This window comes from Homo sapiens, chromosome 5 (genome assembly GCF_000001405.40).
Source record: "Homo sapiens chromosome 5, GRCh38.p14 Primary Assembly".
NCBI lineage: Eukaryota > Metazoa > Chordata > Mammalia > Primates > Hominidae > Homo > Homo sapiens.
The window spans coordinates 152405447-152423231 of NC_000005.10; the positions used below are offsets into that span (position 1 = coordinate 152405447).

The following is a 17785-nucleotide window of genomic DNA, read 5'->3' on the forward strand; positions in this document are numbered from 1 at the left end:
GGAGCTGGGAAGGCAGAGCTGACACAAAAGAAGCCACTCGAACTTCATGGATGGGCACTTTGAGCAATGCAGGTTGCAAAGTTGTGGGAATCTGGGTAGACATAGAAATTAAAGTTGCAGGGCCATGGGCAAAAGAATACCAATCTCCACTAACCCTTGTCAGCCGTACAGCATGATGAAAATAGGAGATCAATAGATTTCTCAAGTTATCTTGTTCCACTGGAAATTCAGGGTTCTCTGGGGATTAATGTGATAACATGATTAATGTGACTTTTTGGTTTTAACTGCATCAACGATAGAATCCGAAGCCTGAAAGGGCGCATGCACAGTGCCTAGCCCTGACTGCTAACTGACTCTTCAGTCTCAGCAGAGCTTTGCTGTAAGCAAAAGGCAAATGGACTTCAGAATTAGGAACACTCATAGAAATTTAGGAAAGTTGGCACAGTTACCCAAACTCTTAGAGGCTTATTTCCTTATCTGCATCATTAATTCGATTGCGTTCCACAATAACTTCTTGAGGATTCACTATTTGCCAGGGAATGTTCTAAGCTTTGTAGAAACACTAGTGTACAAGCAAGACAAGGTCTCTGCCCTAGTGGAGCTTTTCTTGCAGTAGGGAATTCTGAAAACACACAAGCAAATGAATAAATTAATAATATAATTTCAGATAGTAATTGATAAATAATTATTTATCAAGGATGGTGAAAGAAAACTTATCTCAGGAGATGTCACTTTAGCTGAGGTCTGAATGATGAAGTCAGTCATGAAAGAGCTAAGGGAAGTGTATTACTCAGCAAAAGTAATAGCAAGTGCAAAGGTCCTGAGGCAGAAACAAGCTGGATAGGTTTTAAAAATATCAGGAAGACCAGAATAACTGGAATTTAATAAGTGGTCAGCAAAGTATGAATGCTTAGATTGAAGTGGCTGGCAGGTACAGGTTCATGTAAACTCTTATAGGCCATGGAAGAGAGTTTAGCTCTGATTCAAATGGCAGGGAGAAGTCTTTAAAAGATTTTGCACTGGAGAATTAACGAGGGAGAAATTTTAACAGAAGGTAGGTAAGAGGCTAGTAAGACATAGTAGTGGCTTGGATTCTATGAGCAGTGGAGTTGAGAGATTTCTTTGGATTTAGGAATATTTTTGCAGGAGATAATACCTTTTATGGTCATTGAGAAGACTAAATTAAATTATATATAACGAAGCAACTTATACTTAAGAGATGCTCACTAAATGTTAATTTTTTCCCTTTATTTGTTAAATCAGATTATGACGTTAAAAATTAGAGAGGGAAAGTGACTTGTCCAAGAATAAGTCATCTCTCAAGTTAAGATAGTTTACGCTGCTGTAACAAATGATTGACATATCTTGGTGGTTTTAAACAATACAGATTTATTTCTCTTGTACTTCAAATGTATTGAGGGTCTGTCTCATGCTATGCTCACTCATAAACCTAGGCTGATGCAGTGGTCACTCTCTGGAATTTTGATTATCATTGTGATAGAGGAAAAGAGAGCTCTGGATGGTCTTAAGTAGGTAATTATAGGCTCTAGCCCAAAAGTAAGTAACTCATTGCCAGTTTTTCTCACAGCTCATTGACCAAGGTTAATCATATGTACCCATTCGACTACAGCAGGGTCAGGAAGTGCTGTCTTAGCATGTGCACAGAAGATGGAAAAGTAGGAAAAATTGATCAATAACATTAATAATAATTACAGACATGTAATAGGTATTGCAGAGCCAGAATTAGGGCCCTCTAGTTAAAGGCAAGTTTTGATGTTAAAATCACTATTTACAAACTTTAACGTATTTTTCTAATGAAATAGGAAAAGTTTAATGAGAATATCTCATTTAGATGTAAGGATCGTTATAAGGGTGCACAGTGGCAGACTATAAACTTAGCGCTGAGGAAGATGGAAAATATTTCTTTCTTTAACAAAAATATTTTTCCATAAGTTACTGGGGTACAGGTGGTATTTGGTTACACAAGTAAGTTCTTTAGTAGAGATTTGTGAGAACCTGGTGCACCCATCACCCAAGCAGTATACACTGCACCATATTTGTTGTCTTTTATCCCTCACCTGCCTCCCTCTCTTCCCCTAAAGTCCCCAAAGTCCATTGTATCATTCTTATGCGTTTGCATCTTCACACCTTAGCTCCCACATATCAGTGAGAACATATGATGTTTGGTTGTCCATTCCTGAGTTACTCCACTTAGAATAATAGTCTTTAATCTCACCCAGGTCATTGCAAATGCTGTTAATTCATTCCTTTTTATGGCTGTGTAGTATTCATATATATGTATGGAAATATATTTATATATTATATATCCATATATGGATATATATTTATATATTATATTTATATTATATTATATTATATATTATATTATATTGTATATTATATATATTATATATAATATATATAAGATATATTATATATAATATTATATATAATATATATTATATAGTATTTATATATGATATATCCATATATATGGATATATAGGATATCCATATATGATATATCCATATATATCAATATATATCAGAGTTTCTTTATCCACTCACTGATTGATGGGCATTTAGGTTGGTTCCACAATTTTACTGTTGCGAATTGTGCTGCTATAAACAGGCATGTGCAAGTATTTTTTTCGAATAATGACTTCTTTTCCTCAGACACCCAGTAGTGGGATTGCTGGATCAAATGGTAGATCTACTTTTAGTTCTTTAAGGAATCTCCACACTATTTTCCATAGTGGCAGTACTAGTTTACATTCCCACCAGCAGTGTAGAAGTGTTGCCTGATCACCGCATCCACACCAACATCTACTGATTTTTGATGCTTTGATTATGGCCATTCTTGCAGGAGTAAGGTGGTATCGCACTGTGATTTTGATTTGCCTTTCCCTGATTATTAGTGATGTTGAGCATTTTTCCATATGTTTGTTGGTCATTTGTATATCTTCTTTTGAGAATTGTCTATTCCTGTTCTTAGCCCACTTTTTGATGGGATTTTTTTTTCTTACTGATTTGTTTGAGTTTGTTGTAGATTCTGGGTATTAGTTCTTTGTCAGATGTATAGATTGTGAAGATTTTCTCCCACTCTGTGGGTTGTCTGTTTACTCTGCTGACTGTTCCTTTTGCCATGAAAAAGCTCTTTAGTTTAATTAGCTCCCAGCTATTTATCTTTGTTTTTATTGCAATTGCTTTTGGGTTTTTGGTCATGAATTTCTTGCCTAAGCCAATGTCTAGAAGGGTTTTTCCAATGTTATCGTCTAGAATTTTTATAGTTTCAGGTCTTAGGTTTAAGCCCTTAATCCATCTTAGTTGATTTTTGTATAAGGTGAGAGATGAGGATCCAGTTTTATTCTCCTACATGTGGCTAGCCAATTGTCCCAGCACCATTTGTTGAAAAGGGAGTCCTTTCCCCCACTTTATGTTTTTGTTTGCTTTGTTGAAGATCAGTTGGCCATAAGTATTTAGGTTTATGTCTGGATTTTCGATTCTGTTCTTTTGGTCTTTGTGCCTATTTTTATACCAGTGCCATGCTGTTTTGGTGACTATGGCCTTATAGTGTAGTTTGAACTCAAGTAGTGTGATGCCTCCAGATTTATTCTTTTTGCTTAGCCTCTCTTTGGCTATGTGGCTCTTTTTTCGTTCCTTATGAACTTTAGAATTGTTTTTTCTAATTCTGTGAAGAATGATGGTGGTATTTTGATGAGGATTGCATTGAATTTATAGATTGCTTTAGGCAGTATGGTCATTTTCACAGTATTGATTCTGTTCTCCATGAGCATGGGATGTGTTTTCATTTGTTTGTGTCATTGATGATTTCTTTCAGCAGTGTTTTGTAGTTCTGTAGTTTTTTTTGAGACAGATTCTCACTTTGTTGCCCAGGCTACAGTGCAGTGGTGCAATCTCGACTCACTGCAATCTCTGCCTCCTGGGTTCGAGTGATTCTCCTGCTTCAGCCTCCCAAGTAGCTGGGACTACAGGCATGCACCACAGTAACTCCCAAGTAGCTGGGACTACAGGCATGTACCACAGTAGCTCCCAAGTAGCTGGGACTACAGGCTGGGACTACAGGCATGCACACTACAGGCATGCCTGGCTAATTTGTATATTTTTAGTAGAGATGGAGTTTCGCCATGTTGGCCAAGCTGGTCTTGAACTCATGTCCTCAAATGATCCACCCACCTTGGCCTCCCAAAGTGCTGAGATTACAGGTGTGAGCCACCGTGCCCAGCCAATATTTCTTAATATATGAGGCAACAAATCTAAAATTCAAAGGCATTTCCACATTGTGACAGGGTAGGTCTAATCAAAAAGGATGATGTCTAGTACAGAATGTAGTAGCAGGCTCAATGCAGGGAGATGCTATAGAAGTAATAAAGGCACGGACTGCAGCGTAGCTTTGGGATTCAAATCTTGGTTCTGCCTCCTACTAGCTATGTGACCATAAGGAACATAATTAAACTCTGTAAGCCTCAGTTACTCCATCAGCAAAATGAGTAAAATAGCAGTATTGCTTTACAGGATTTCTAGGAGAATTAAATCGTTCCTGGTAAAATATTCAGTGTAAATTATTTTAAATAACATAATATTTAAATAAGTATTTAATAATGGGATATGCAATTGAATAATAATGATAATTTCATGATGGGGATGTCTTTCTTTTTATTGGGGTCAGAAAGACTATTACAAGATTTAAAAACTGGGAGATGTGCTTGGAGCTGCTAAAATGAGGAGTACTTCCAGCTTTTAATTAACTTTTAGTGCAGTATAGCAAGTCAGAATAGCTTCTAGGAAAGTATATAGACATCTGTTCCCCAGGTCACCAAGGTTTGCACCTGTACTTACCAACTATGTGAAGATGGTGAGAATAGCAAGGGGCTCAATATCTTGTAGGTAAGATTTGATGCAAGTGGAGATGTTTGCCTGAAGAAGACTCAGAGGAAAAAAGTGGGGCATGAGGATCACTTTCAAATATTTGAAAAAATATTTGGGTGACACCCATGGACAGAGGGGGAACTAATATTTAGAAAACCTAAAAGAACAATAATTTAGAGTCAATTCCACTGAGATTTCCTGATAAGTGAAGAGAGAACCTCTCAATCGTTCCCCTGAAAAATAAGAAATCAGTATTTACCCACCAATTTCTGTCCCCTATTGTTTGAGGTTTGCTCCTGGGGCAATAACTCCCCTATATCTCTGGGCTATTCTTGCTCATGGGTTGCATAGGCTTCCATGTGTCAGGGAAGGCTATGGAGTAGAAAAATAGAAATGTGGCATAGACTTATGATGCAACCCTATCAGCCTGGGTAAGTCTGAGCTTGCAAAGGGCCATCCTTCCCAGCTGTAGCTAAAACCACGTGGGCCAAGGGATTATGATTTGGGAGTACCAGTAGCATTTTCTAAAATCTATAAAATAAAAAACAATAACACTAGATAACATCTGTTGAACATTTATTCTTTCCAGGCTCTGTTGTAAGCTTTTACATGTATCAGCACATACAATCTTTACAATACTGCCTACAAGGTAGGCTGTTTGTTTATCCCTGCCATTAGAAGCACATGCAGATTACGGGAATAGTTGAAACTCACGTAGTATATCAGTCATTTGGGTTAGGTTATGTTTCAGTAACAAAAATTTCCAAATTTTTGTAGACTAAAATAAAGGTTTATTTCTTGCTCATTCTACATGTCATCAAGGGTTGTCCAGTAGTCTCGGTCCTACACTGATCTCACATTGGAATTCAGGCTCCAACTGGTGTTTTTACAATTCCCAAAGGAGGATTCCCAAGGGGACCCTACTTAAATGTTCTGCCTAGGAATGACAGAGATCACTTCCATTCACATCTGAGGGCTAAATCAAGTTACATGGGAAATCCTAATTCTAAGGAGGGCACAAAGAACCATCTCACTATGTGCTTAGGAGGAGAAAGCCAAAACTACTTGGTAAATAGAATTAATGACTATATGTTGTGCTCCTCTGGACACAAACATTCTTTCTTGCAGGCAAAAGACTCTTCTCCCTTCTCTATTGCAGATACCCCAACATTCCTAGCCCAGTCACAGCTGCAAGTTAAAAATCCAGGATCTCTGGAGAACATCCAAGATGTTCTTTATAGCAGAAAATAGAACAGTATTCTCTCTGTCACATCCATATGAGGATCCTCTCATTCCAGAGACCTATAAACTAAAAGGGCAAGTTATTAGTTTCCCACATGGACACTTCCAGCTTCTAATAATACTTTTTTATTTGCCCATTATCTGGCCCCTAGACAAATGCCATATACTTTAGAGTTCTATAGCAATGCTCCACTTTCAGATCCAGTTTTGAGTCAGTAACTTGGACTAGATTTTGCTGAGGTAACAACCCCAAACTCTCAGTGACTTTAAACAACAAAGGCTTTTTTTCACCTGTGTCGATTGTGGCTGGGAAGGGAAACTTTTGTGTTACACTGTCTTCATCTGGGATAATATGGAAAATTCCACCACCTGAAGGGGAGTAAAAAAAACTCCTGGGAAGATGTGACCATGGGGGTGTTGGCTTCTCAATCCTATCTTTCCAAGGGACTTCTCCTTGTGCTTTAGCATCTAGCACTGTTCTGGGTAATGAGGATTTACTCAGTAAAGGGAATATAAACGAAAAGGCCTTGTAGCAACTAGATTGGATATAAGGCAACCACATTTGTCAAAGGAATAATTAGGCAAATCATCATCATCTTATAAGAAAGTTTTTATTTTATAGACACTAACAATGTGAAGAAATTTTCTAGAAAGTTCTGTTAGTAGGAACAGAACTTTGATTCAGAGGCATAACATTCCAGCTCTCTTCAGCATTGGCATCCCAGGGAGTTAGGAAATGCTCATGTGACCTTGGATAACAACAATGAAAATAGAGTGCCTAGAACAAGGGGAGTTATCTTCAGTTCTGTTAAGCACCAGAACAAGACTATTTGCACTAGTTTGAGCAGACAGACACTAGTGGCATTGAGGATCTTTTCATATATCTATTGGCCATTTGTACATCTTCTTTGGAGAAATGTCTATTTGTGTCCTTCGTTCATTTTTTAAAATGTTTTTCCTCATCACTAAATTGAGAGTATTTTTTATGAAAGCTAAGGTCCCGTCTATGTTCCAAAAATATCAGTGGCATTTGGCTAATCACAGTAATTCTTCCACCCTGATGATCAATCTAGTGTTTTTTAAATGAGGCCTAGTGGGTCTGTACTCTAGCAGATTTATAGGAGACAAAGGAGATAGGTCCTTGATTTAGATTAATTTTTATAGATACATCTGTGCCTTCACAGTTTCCCAGAAAGTCAGGGTGAACTTTGTGGCAAGAGATGTCACATATCCACAATGAGAATCATGGGTGGCTGTTGATTTCTTTCTGAACTCTTTGATGGAAATAGAGTCAGTTTCAGCTCTAATCTCAATGGCTTTTACTGATTTAAAACAGAGAATGACTAAGGGTTCTTAAAACACTAGCAGATGGAAGCTTTGGTAATTATTTCTTTATGAAAGTGGATACCTGAGTCGCATCTAGAATACACAGATTGCTCTGTAGATCAGAACGTGACTCAGTAAAGACAGCACCTCGCTAGTGGTATTATTTAAAAGGAGAAAAATCCTCCATTGTCTAAAATTTCCTGCCCCAGTCGTGCTTGAAATCTTATTATTTCTTTAAGCATCTCTTCTCTGTGAGGAAAAATCATCATCAACAATGCCAGCTTCCATGATCGACTGGCACTGAGCTAAGTGCTTTGTTTGTATTCTCTAATTTAATCCTTGCAACAACCCAAAGAGGAAGTATTTTTATTACCCACATTTTACAGATGAGAAAAGCCAAGATTTAGAAAGGTTACATGCTTCACGAACTCACACAGTTAATTTTCATCAGTGCCACAGGTACTTGTACAGGACCTGACCACTTGCTGTCTGAATGCAGAGCCTTTGCAGTGAGTTACGGCTCAGAATCACCATGTCACAAAAGCTATGCTATTTTCACATAAATTACTGAGCCATGCATTTAAGGGGTACCTACATTTAAACAGAGTATTCCTATAGATACAATATATTCACCCAAGGGTCAGTCCATAGCTGACATGTACTCAGTTCTGGGATTCACAATGTAAGGGACTTTTCCATTTAAATTACAAAATAAAATTTTATGCACTCAAGTTAATAGAACTTGTCGAAGTATTTTGCACTGAAGTGTTTACACCAGAACAGATTGTAAATGTACACAGATTGTTCTGGTGTAAATTAGCTTGCAGGATAAAGTAAGTGGCAATTTTTCATATTAGTATTATTTATATAATAAGGTTACCTGTAGATAACACCAGTGTGCCAGGCATGGTGAAAGGTATTTTGAACAAAAATAGTCAGGGTATGGTTATGACTTAGACTAATCAACTAATCATATAATAATGTAAAATTATAGCAGGGTCACGCAAGAGAGGTACTTTATTAGGAATGCTATGAGATGTGATCTAGAGCAGAGATCAGAGAGTAGAAACTCACAACATGAAGCATTGGAGGTAAGAGTTGGAAGAGGAGCATTCTAGGCAAAGCAAAGAGTATGTGCAAACGTCCAGGGAGGGAAGAGAGGTTGGTACCCATGAGGAGGAGGTGTGGAGGCCACTGTGAGGCAGGAGAATAGGGTCTGGAGGCAGGGAACCTAAGGCTGATTCATGCTGACTTCCTAGAACTAAATCAAAAGGAAAACCCCAACTTTCCACGCCTAAGTATCAAAAGGACCACAGGTTATGCCCATTGCAACTCCCCTTTTTCTGCATGGCAGATGAAAAACTGAAACTACCTCTGATTGGTCTTCTCCCACAGCCAATCAGGCTGGTCTTGGGCCAAGTCTTTATTTAGAGGAGTATAACTTTGTGACTTCACTTCAGCCTCTGAGTGGTCACTTTCCACAACCAGTCAGAATGATTGTAGGCCACTACTTAATTTACATAGGGTGTACACCAAGTAACTAGTGGGAAACCTCTAGAGGGTATTTAAGCCCCAGAAAATTCTGTAACTGGGTTCTTAAACAACTATGCTCAGTCGGGCTCCCACCTTGTGGAGTGTACTTTTGTTTTCAATAAATCTCTGCTTTTGTTGCTTCATTCTTTCCTTGCTTTGTTTGTGCATTTTGTCCAATTCTTTGTTCAGGATGCCAAGAACCTGGACACCCTCCACAGGTAACAACTGAGCCTGGGGAGCATACTGTGAGATCAGGACCATGCAGAGACTTGTAGGCCATACTAAGGCCTTTACTTTTGTTTCTCTTTGCTATTAAAGAAGCCAATGAAACATTTTAAACTGGAAAGACATGATTTTCAAAAAGATCCCTCTTGGCTGCAGGGAGAAAATGAATGGAGGTGGGAAAGATGAGGAGATATAGGCTATTTCACTAGTCTAAATAAGGGATAACAGTCACTTGGGCTTAGATAGTGACAGTAGAGATGGTGGGAAGAGATAGAAAGAAAATAAAGGCAGCAGGACTGCCAAATATCTAGGCCTCACACTTACTGGCTGTGTGACCTTAAGCAGATGCTTAACCTCTCTGAGTCACTATTTCTACCCCTTTAAAAATTGGAGCAACCTTCAGCTGACAAACAAATTGAGATAAGTTTCAGGATAAAAAATCAATGTAAAAAAATTACTAGCATTTCTAAACACCAACAACAGCCAAGCCAAGAGCCAAATCAGGAATGCAATCGCATTCACAATTGCCACAGAAAGAATAAAATACCTAGGAATTCAGCTACCTAGGGAGCCGAAAGATCTCTACAATGAGAATTACAGAGCACTGCTCAAAGAAATTAGAGATGACACAAACAAATGGACAAAAATTCTATGCTCATGGATAGGAAGAATCAATATCATTAAAATGGCCATATTGCTCAAAGCAATTTACAGATTCAGTACTATTCCTGTAAAACTACCAATGATATTCTTCACAGAACTATAAAAAACTATTTTAAAATTCATATGGAATAAAAAAAGAGCCCAAATAGCCAAGGCAATCCTAAGCAAAAGGAGCAAAATGGAGCCATCATGTTACCTGATTTTAAACTATACTACAAAGCTACAGTAACCAAAACAGCATAGTATGAGTACAAAAACAGTCATATAAATCAATGAAACAGAACAGACAGCCCAGAAATAAGGCTGCACATCTACAACCATCTGATCTTTGACAAAGCTGACAAAAACACATTGGGAAAAGACTCCCTATTTAATAAATGATGCTGGGATAACTGGCTTAGCCATATGCAGAAGATTGAAACTTTTTTACATCATGTAAAAAAATCAACCCAAGATGGATTAAAGCCTTAAATGTAAAACTCAAAACTATAAAAACCCTGGACGACAATCTAGGCAATACTATTCTGAACATAGGAACGGGGAAAGATTTCATGACAAAGACACTGAAAGCAATTGCAATAAAAGCAACAATCAGCAAATGGAATCTAATTAAACTAAAGAGCTTGTGTGCAGCAAAACAAACTGTCAAAAGCGTGAACAGACAACCTGCAGAATGGGAGAAAATATTTGTATACTATGAATCTGACAAAAGTCTAATATCCAGCATATATGAGGAACTTAAATTTTCAAGAAAAAAACAACTTCATTAAAAAGTGGGCAAAGGAAATGAAAAGACATTTTTCAAAAGAAGACAGAGACGTAGCCAACAATCATATGACAAAAAGCTCAAATCACTAATCATTAGAGAAATGCAAATCAAAGCCACAGTGAGATGCTATCTCATACCAGTTAGAATGGCTATTAACAAGTCAAAAAATAACAGATGCTGGCGAGGTTGCAGAGAAGAGGGAACACATATACACTGTTGGTGGGAGTAAATTATTTCAACCATTGTGTAAAACAGTGTGGCAATTCCTGAAAGAGCTAAAGACAGAAACTACCATTTGACCCAGCAATCTCATTAGTGGGTATATGCCCAGAGAAATATAAATCGTTTAATTATAAAGACACATGCATGTAAATGTTCATTGCAGCACTATTCACAATAGCAAAGACATGGAATCAACCTAAATGCCCATCAATGACAGATTGGATAAAGAAAATGTGGTACAAATATACCATGGAATATTATGCAGACATAAAAAAGTATGAAATCATGTCCTTTGCAGGGACATGGATGGAGCTAGAGGCTATTATCCTTAGCGAAATAACACAGGAACAGAAAACCAAATACCACATGCTTTCACTTACAAATGGGGCAAAAAAAACAAACACCGCATGTTCTCACTCATAGGTGGGAATTGAACAATGAGAACACTTGGACACAGGAAGGGGAACATCACACACTGGGGCCTGTCGTGGGGTTGGGGGAGGGGTCGGGATAGCATTAGGAGATATACCTAATGTAAATGACGAGTTAATGGGTGCAGCACACCAACATGGCACATGTATACATATGTAACAAACCTGATGTTGTGCACACGTACCCTAGAACTTAAAGTATAATAATAAAAAATAAAATAAAATAAAGTGTTTTCAAAAGTTCACACACACAAAAAAACAAATAGTGCTAAATGATGGGAACTCATGGACATGAAGAAGGGAACAACAGACACTGGTGCCTTCTCAAGGTGGAGGGTGGGAGGAGGGAGAGGATAGAAAAAATAAATAGGCTTAGTGCCTGGGTGACAAAATAGTCTGTACAACAAACCCCTATGACACTATTTTACCTAAATAACAAACCTGCACATGTACTCCCAAACCTAAATTAAAAGTTTAAAAAATGGGGCAATAACAATATCTACTTCAAGGTCATTACAAATTAATATATGTACCTGGCACATGGTAAGTGCTTGCATTACAGTAGTAATAGTTGCATTACCAGTTTTGAAATAAAGGAGAAAAAATTGATTGGGATGAAAATGTTTTCAATAACCCTATTCATAGAAGTAGAATTCTTGAGTCAAAAAGATGGGATTAAGAAAACTAATCCTAATACACAGTTGTCCTCGTTATCTGCAGGGGATTGGTTCCAGGACCCTAGTGGATACCAAAATTTGTGTATGCTCAAGTCTTTTATATAAAATGGCATAATATTTGCATATAATATATGCATATTATCTCATATACTTTAAATAATCTCTAGATTACTTATAATACCTAATAAAATGTAAATGGTATGTAAATGGTTGTCATAATGTTTTGTTTTTTAATTTGTGTTATTTTTCATTGTCTTTTTTTCAGAATATTTTAAATCTATAGTTGATTGAATTAAATGATGTGGAATCTCTGGATATAGAGGAACAACTGTACTTCTTTTTAACACTTCTTTTAAAGCATGTCTTAGAGATATTAGAAAAGTTACATTCATCTTTCACATTTTAGTTCTCCTAAAAGGACTATTTGAATTTACAGTTTTACCAAAAGGACCGAGAGTGCACAAGCCCTTAAATCCTTGATAATGTTGGGCCCTATCAATTTTTCCTTTTTGAGGCATAACGTTGTCATCTTAATTTGGTTTAAAGTTGATCATTATTTAATGTTTCATGGTCAATTTTTATTTTTTTATTTGAAATGTCTTTTCACACAAATTGTCCTGAGTAAATAATAAATAAATAGAAAACTAGACTTTTGGCAACACCATAAAGAACAGAGAATAAAAGATACCATTCCAGGCTGGGCATGGTGGCTCACGCCTGTAAGCCCAGGACCTTGGGAGGCCTAGGTGAGCAGATCATTTGAGGTCAGGAGTTTGAGAACAGCCTGGCCAACATAGTGACACCCCATCTCTACTAAAAATACACAAATTAGTCAGGCATGGTGGTGCATGCCTGTAGTACCAGCTACTTGGGAGGCTGAGACAGGAGAAGTGTTTGAACTCTTGAAGGGAAAATATTTAAGAGAGACTAGAGACCGTTCAGGGATGCTGGAAAGGATTACAAACCAGACAAAGATGAATGCATGTCTCACTACTCAAGTGTCCTCTGCAGACCAACAGCATCAGCATCATATGGGAGCCTGTTAGACTTGCAGAATCTCATGCCCAGCTCAACCTCCTGAATCAGAGTGCACATTTCTACAAGACTCTCAGGAGATTTGTTTGCACATGAAAGTGTGAGGACTGCTGGATTAGATGACCTCAATAGTTCTTTCTGAACTGGTATGCTCCTGTGAGTCTAGGAATGATGTCCAAAGCAGAGAACTTGGGGCACGATGTCAGGGGAGCAGATCCCGTTTAGCTGGCGAGGCTGTTAGGGTTTTTCAAACTACTCCAGTCATGCTTGCATCAAGTTCTCAGAGGTACATGAGGTGATACTGGAAGAAATAGATGTTGTTTAATACAGGATCAATTTTGAGCTGTTGACTCTCAGAGCTGGAAGAAACTCAGGGATCATCTAATTTGCAATTTTATTTTATACAAGAGGAACTGAAGGTTAGAGAAGGACAGTGACCTGTCCCAGGTTAAAATAAAAATTGATGACTTTTTCCTACCTTAATTTCTGCCTAGGCTGGTTCATTCTCTCTCTAGCTCACTATTTCTGTCTCTATCTCTGTGTTTGTCTCTTGTCTTTCTCTCCTTTCTCTCTCTCCTCCCTCCCTCTCTCTTTCTCAATCTGTCACACACACAAACACACACACACACACACACACACACAGCCGAAATTAAACAACCTGCTTTTTAAATTGATCTGGTGCCTGTCCTTAGGGCCAAACAACAAAAGCAAGGAGAGGGGAGAATATAATATTGCAGAAGGAGTCTTTTCAGTGGTAGCAAAGCAGGCTGCAAGAGTAACGTGAACAGGAGCTGAAGTCAGAGGGAATATAAACTAAGAAGTCAGAAGGAACATAAACTAAGAATGCCAACAGGTATATGCTCTTCATTAGTTCTCCCTCAGACTTTTGAGCTGAGGTTTGTCATTGGTTATTTCAATAAAGAATCTAGGGTTATGATTGAGGCTATAGGAGAAAATGAGGAAGAACAGTGGATGAAAGTTCTAATCTCAGCAGTCAGACAGCCTGTATATAAATCCCAGTTCCACCACCAAAGGGGTCTATATGTGATATAATGAGGGTTTGCTTCAATGTCATATGGATTTAAAAATCATCAATTATTTTTATTTCACCTACTCACAGGGTTGTTGTGAATTTCAATAATACTTTGAAAAAAAATGCTTGAGGCTTCCGGAGATTTTTATAGTTTCTTGTTCAAATTGTCAGTATTTCCAATCAGCATGATATGGTTTGTAAAGACAGGGCACTATCTAACTTGTTCACTGCTCTACTCCCATGACTAGCACAGTGCTGCAACATAAAAAGTGCGAAGAATACCGAGTCAAGCTTCAATGAGTGGATAGGTTTACACATGAAGGGAAGAGGAGGAAAAACAGAAAGGAGGAGAGCAGGCTAGCTTCCTGTGTGACATTAAGATCTAATTTGTGATCATTAGGTTTCCCATAGTTTTTTTTTCTATTCTTGCGGTTTGCTGTTTTTGTCATAGTTTTTGTTTTTTAGTGATAACACTAAATTAATTAACAATGTAGTGAGGAAAACTTGAACTCTATAGTCAGGCAGACCAAGATTTAAGTTTGCTGCTTGAAACTATGTGACCTTGGACAAGTTACATTCTGTATCTGTGCATCAATTTTCTCATCAGTAAAATGGTGTTAATAATTTATAACTCATTAGGATTGTTGTGTGGATTAAATGGCAAAATGAATATAAATAGTTTAGTACAGGGCTTAGTATATAGTAAGCGTTAAATAAATGCTGTTTTCTTGCACTAAGAGTTCAAGGAGGCTAATCTACTAATGAAAAGATTTGATCAATGGCTGATACACTGGTACATGGTAGTCATCCCACAAGTGGTTTAAAATATTTAAAAATAGAAGGCATACATACGTTGACTTTTTTCTTTAATGACATTTTCGTTGAAGGCAATTTATGTGTCTGTCTTTTTTTATATGATTAAGTTTTAGGAGTTTTTGAAATCATTTATTTGAAAATGTTGATTGTATAATTTCTGCTTTTTAAAATTATTGAGATATTTCTCTTTGCTCTGATATGATCAATTTTTGTAAATGTTGTATGAAAACTTGGAAAGAAGGTATATTTTTGGCATGAGATAAGATCTGTTCTATATGAATTTTAGTTTATGGATTATATATCAGTTAATTTTCTTTAATGGAAAGCTTTAATAATGCTGCAGAAGCAAATAAAAAAAAAGCTCTACAACTTATTTAATTGGAGAATACTGGGTGATTCACAGAATTAAAGGATGAGATAAATAGCCTAGTCTTGGGTGGGAAAGAAACGAGGGTAGCTCTGGGAGCCGAGCAGCAGATACTTGGGAGCATTAGCATCTTTGGGACACTACACTGTTGTCTGGGGCTCAACTCTATATTATCTCCCTTTGGATTTCTGCTTAAGGGTTAAATTCCCCGGGGAAAGAACAGAGTTGTCTTAGCTTAGATTTCTTGCCTAATATTGTGATTGGCAGACAAGGACCAGGTTTCTACTGGAAAAAGGGAGGAAGAAGCCAGACAGGCAATAACTACAGAGATCCACTACCTGAGCTGTGACGTTTACATCTTTATATCCTTATTGCTGTGTTTCTCTTTGACCTGCCATGCTAAGTTCTGAGGGTGTTTAGGATGCAGAAAAATGGGAACATAGTTGTGATTCACTACATATGAGAAGATAGCTGGGTTTGGGTTGAGAGTATTCTCTTTCCCTAGATTGGCCTGTCTATAAAGAAAGCATGTTATTAGTCTAGTATTAAAATCACTATTAGTACTGTCACCATCACCATTTGTTGAGTACTTTTTCATTTATTAATATTTAAGGTATTTGTCAGAAACTGTGCTTGGTACAGTTCTGCCCCCATGGAGTTGAGAATCTACTGACAGGATACTCATTTATTCAAATAAACTCTTAAATTGATGGACAATTAAAATTAGAATGTAATTATAATTTATGCTTGCATGATTATAATTGGAATAACTATGATGAAAGAGAAATGCACGAAGTCTCAGGGAATATGTATTGTGGAGATTTGGCCTTCTCTGGCAGGACAGAGAAGATTGAGTAAGTCATGAATGTGGTGATATTAGAGGATATATAGGAGCTAATCAGGTGAAGAGAGCCCAGGGAGAAAATTTTAGACAAAGGTATCCATATGAAGAGGTTGCAGTTCTAGCAGAAGCATGATTCATTTGAGAAACCAAATGGAGGGTAATTTGGCTGGAGTATAGAGAGAAAATGGGAGTTATGTATGGAAAGTGCCTGGAGAGTGGGCTGTAACCATGCAGGATGTTATGGGTCATTTTAAGTTTTCTGGTGTTTAGCCTAAAAGCAATGTAAAGCTATTAGGTCATAACATGGGAGTGATATGACCAGTTTTACATTTTGAAACAATACGTCCAGCTGTAGTATGAACACATTGGAGGGGTTAGGAGTAGATATGAGATATATCTGGAGCCAATTGTAGGAATGTATGAGAAATAAGGGGGGCTTAAACTAGGGTTATGGATTAGAGGAAAAAGAAGTGGGCAGATGTAGGAGAAATTTAGGAAAGTACAACAGAAAAATGTGGTGGATTATGGAGGGTATAGAAGAGAGTGTCAATTATGATTTTTAGGTTTTGACTGGTATAATTGAATGGATGGTGGGCTCATTCTCATTGATAAAGAACACTAAAAGAGTCCGAGCTTAGAGCAAAAAACCATGTGTAATTTTGAACTGGCTGGCTTGGATATACTTTTGTGATAGCCAGTGTGATAATCCAGGGGAGGTTAGATAAAAAGGCCTGGAATTCATAAAGGAGGCCTAAACCAGAGATTGTAATGCTTGAGACTTTCTTTGTAGGAGATAAAACTGTCAGTGTGGGTGAGTTGCCTGGGGAAAGAGAACAGACAAGAAGGTGACCTAGGTTTCGTTGTGAAGTACAAGGCAAGAGCTTCTGCTGAGAGTTATCAAGGAGGTGAGAGGGAGAGGGGCTTAGGATGAAAGAAAGGTAAGGGGCCAGGGAAATTTTTGAGGAATTGATAATATCAGCAAATGGGAAACTGTCACTTAGTCATATCAGCAAATGGGAAACTGAGTTAATGGGGAAAAGTTTTAAGTTTATTGGTGACAATAAAGGCCCTCTTTGGGCTGGTGTCCCCCTTAATGGGACTAGAATAAAAGAAAGGTAGGTGGCCCGGAAGAACTTTGAGGACTTAGTCATATCAGCAAATGGGAAATACTCAATTACTCATATCAGCAAAGGGGAAACTGAGTTAATAGGGAAAAATTTCAAGTTTAATGGGGACAAACTTTAGGCTGGTCAAACACTCAGGCAACACACATTTGGTGAGCGGCCACTGTTCTGGCCCTTGGGAATATATGGTAAATAACATGGTCTCTCTACTCTTGAGGAGCTACATGTTAGTGAGGAGAGTGGTGAGTGATGTAGGTGCTTTGGCGCCACAAGATAACTGGTGTTCCTTAAAAGCATGAATTTATTATTCAAGTACTTTTCCTAATAATGTGATTTCAGTCAGTCATATATGGCTGCTTGATTATAGTCATAGAGACAGTAGATAAAGTTTTACAAATAGAGATACAGATTTGCTTGAAAGGCATAATGAAAAAAAATCAAAGAATAGAAATAGAGAAACAATGGAGTTGCCATTAAGGGTGTTTTAAATAATCATGGAGATTAAGAGAAGGAAATAGAAGAAAGGGGAGAAATGAAGGATTAACAAACAGGTAGTTACAATGAGAATAATTGAAGAAGCAAACTAGAA

At 37.5% G+C, this 17785-nt stretch overlaps 2 annotated features.

Moving 5' to 3' along the window:
- Nucleotides 5708–5877: an enhancer, noted in NCBI's record as "experimental_82644 CRE fragment used in MPRA reporter constructs". NCBI's record gives its function as "activates a minimal promoter by MPRAs in K562 erythroleukemia cells, with activity observed for the introgressed 5:151790800 variant allele {active_cell/tissue: K562}" and the evidence as "EXISTENCE:reporter gene assay evidence [ECO:0000049][PMID:34662402]".
- Nucleotides 6534–6703: an enhancer, noted in NCBI's record as "experimental_82645 CRE fragment used in MPRA reporter constructs". NCBI's record gives its function as "activates a minimal promoter by MPRAs in K562 erythroleukemia cells, with activity observed for the introgressed 5:151791626 variant allele {active_cell/tissue: K562}" and the evidence as "EXISTENCE:reporter gene assay evidence [ECO:0000049][PMID:34662402]".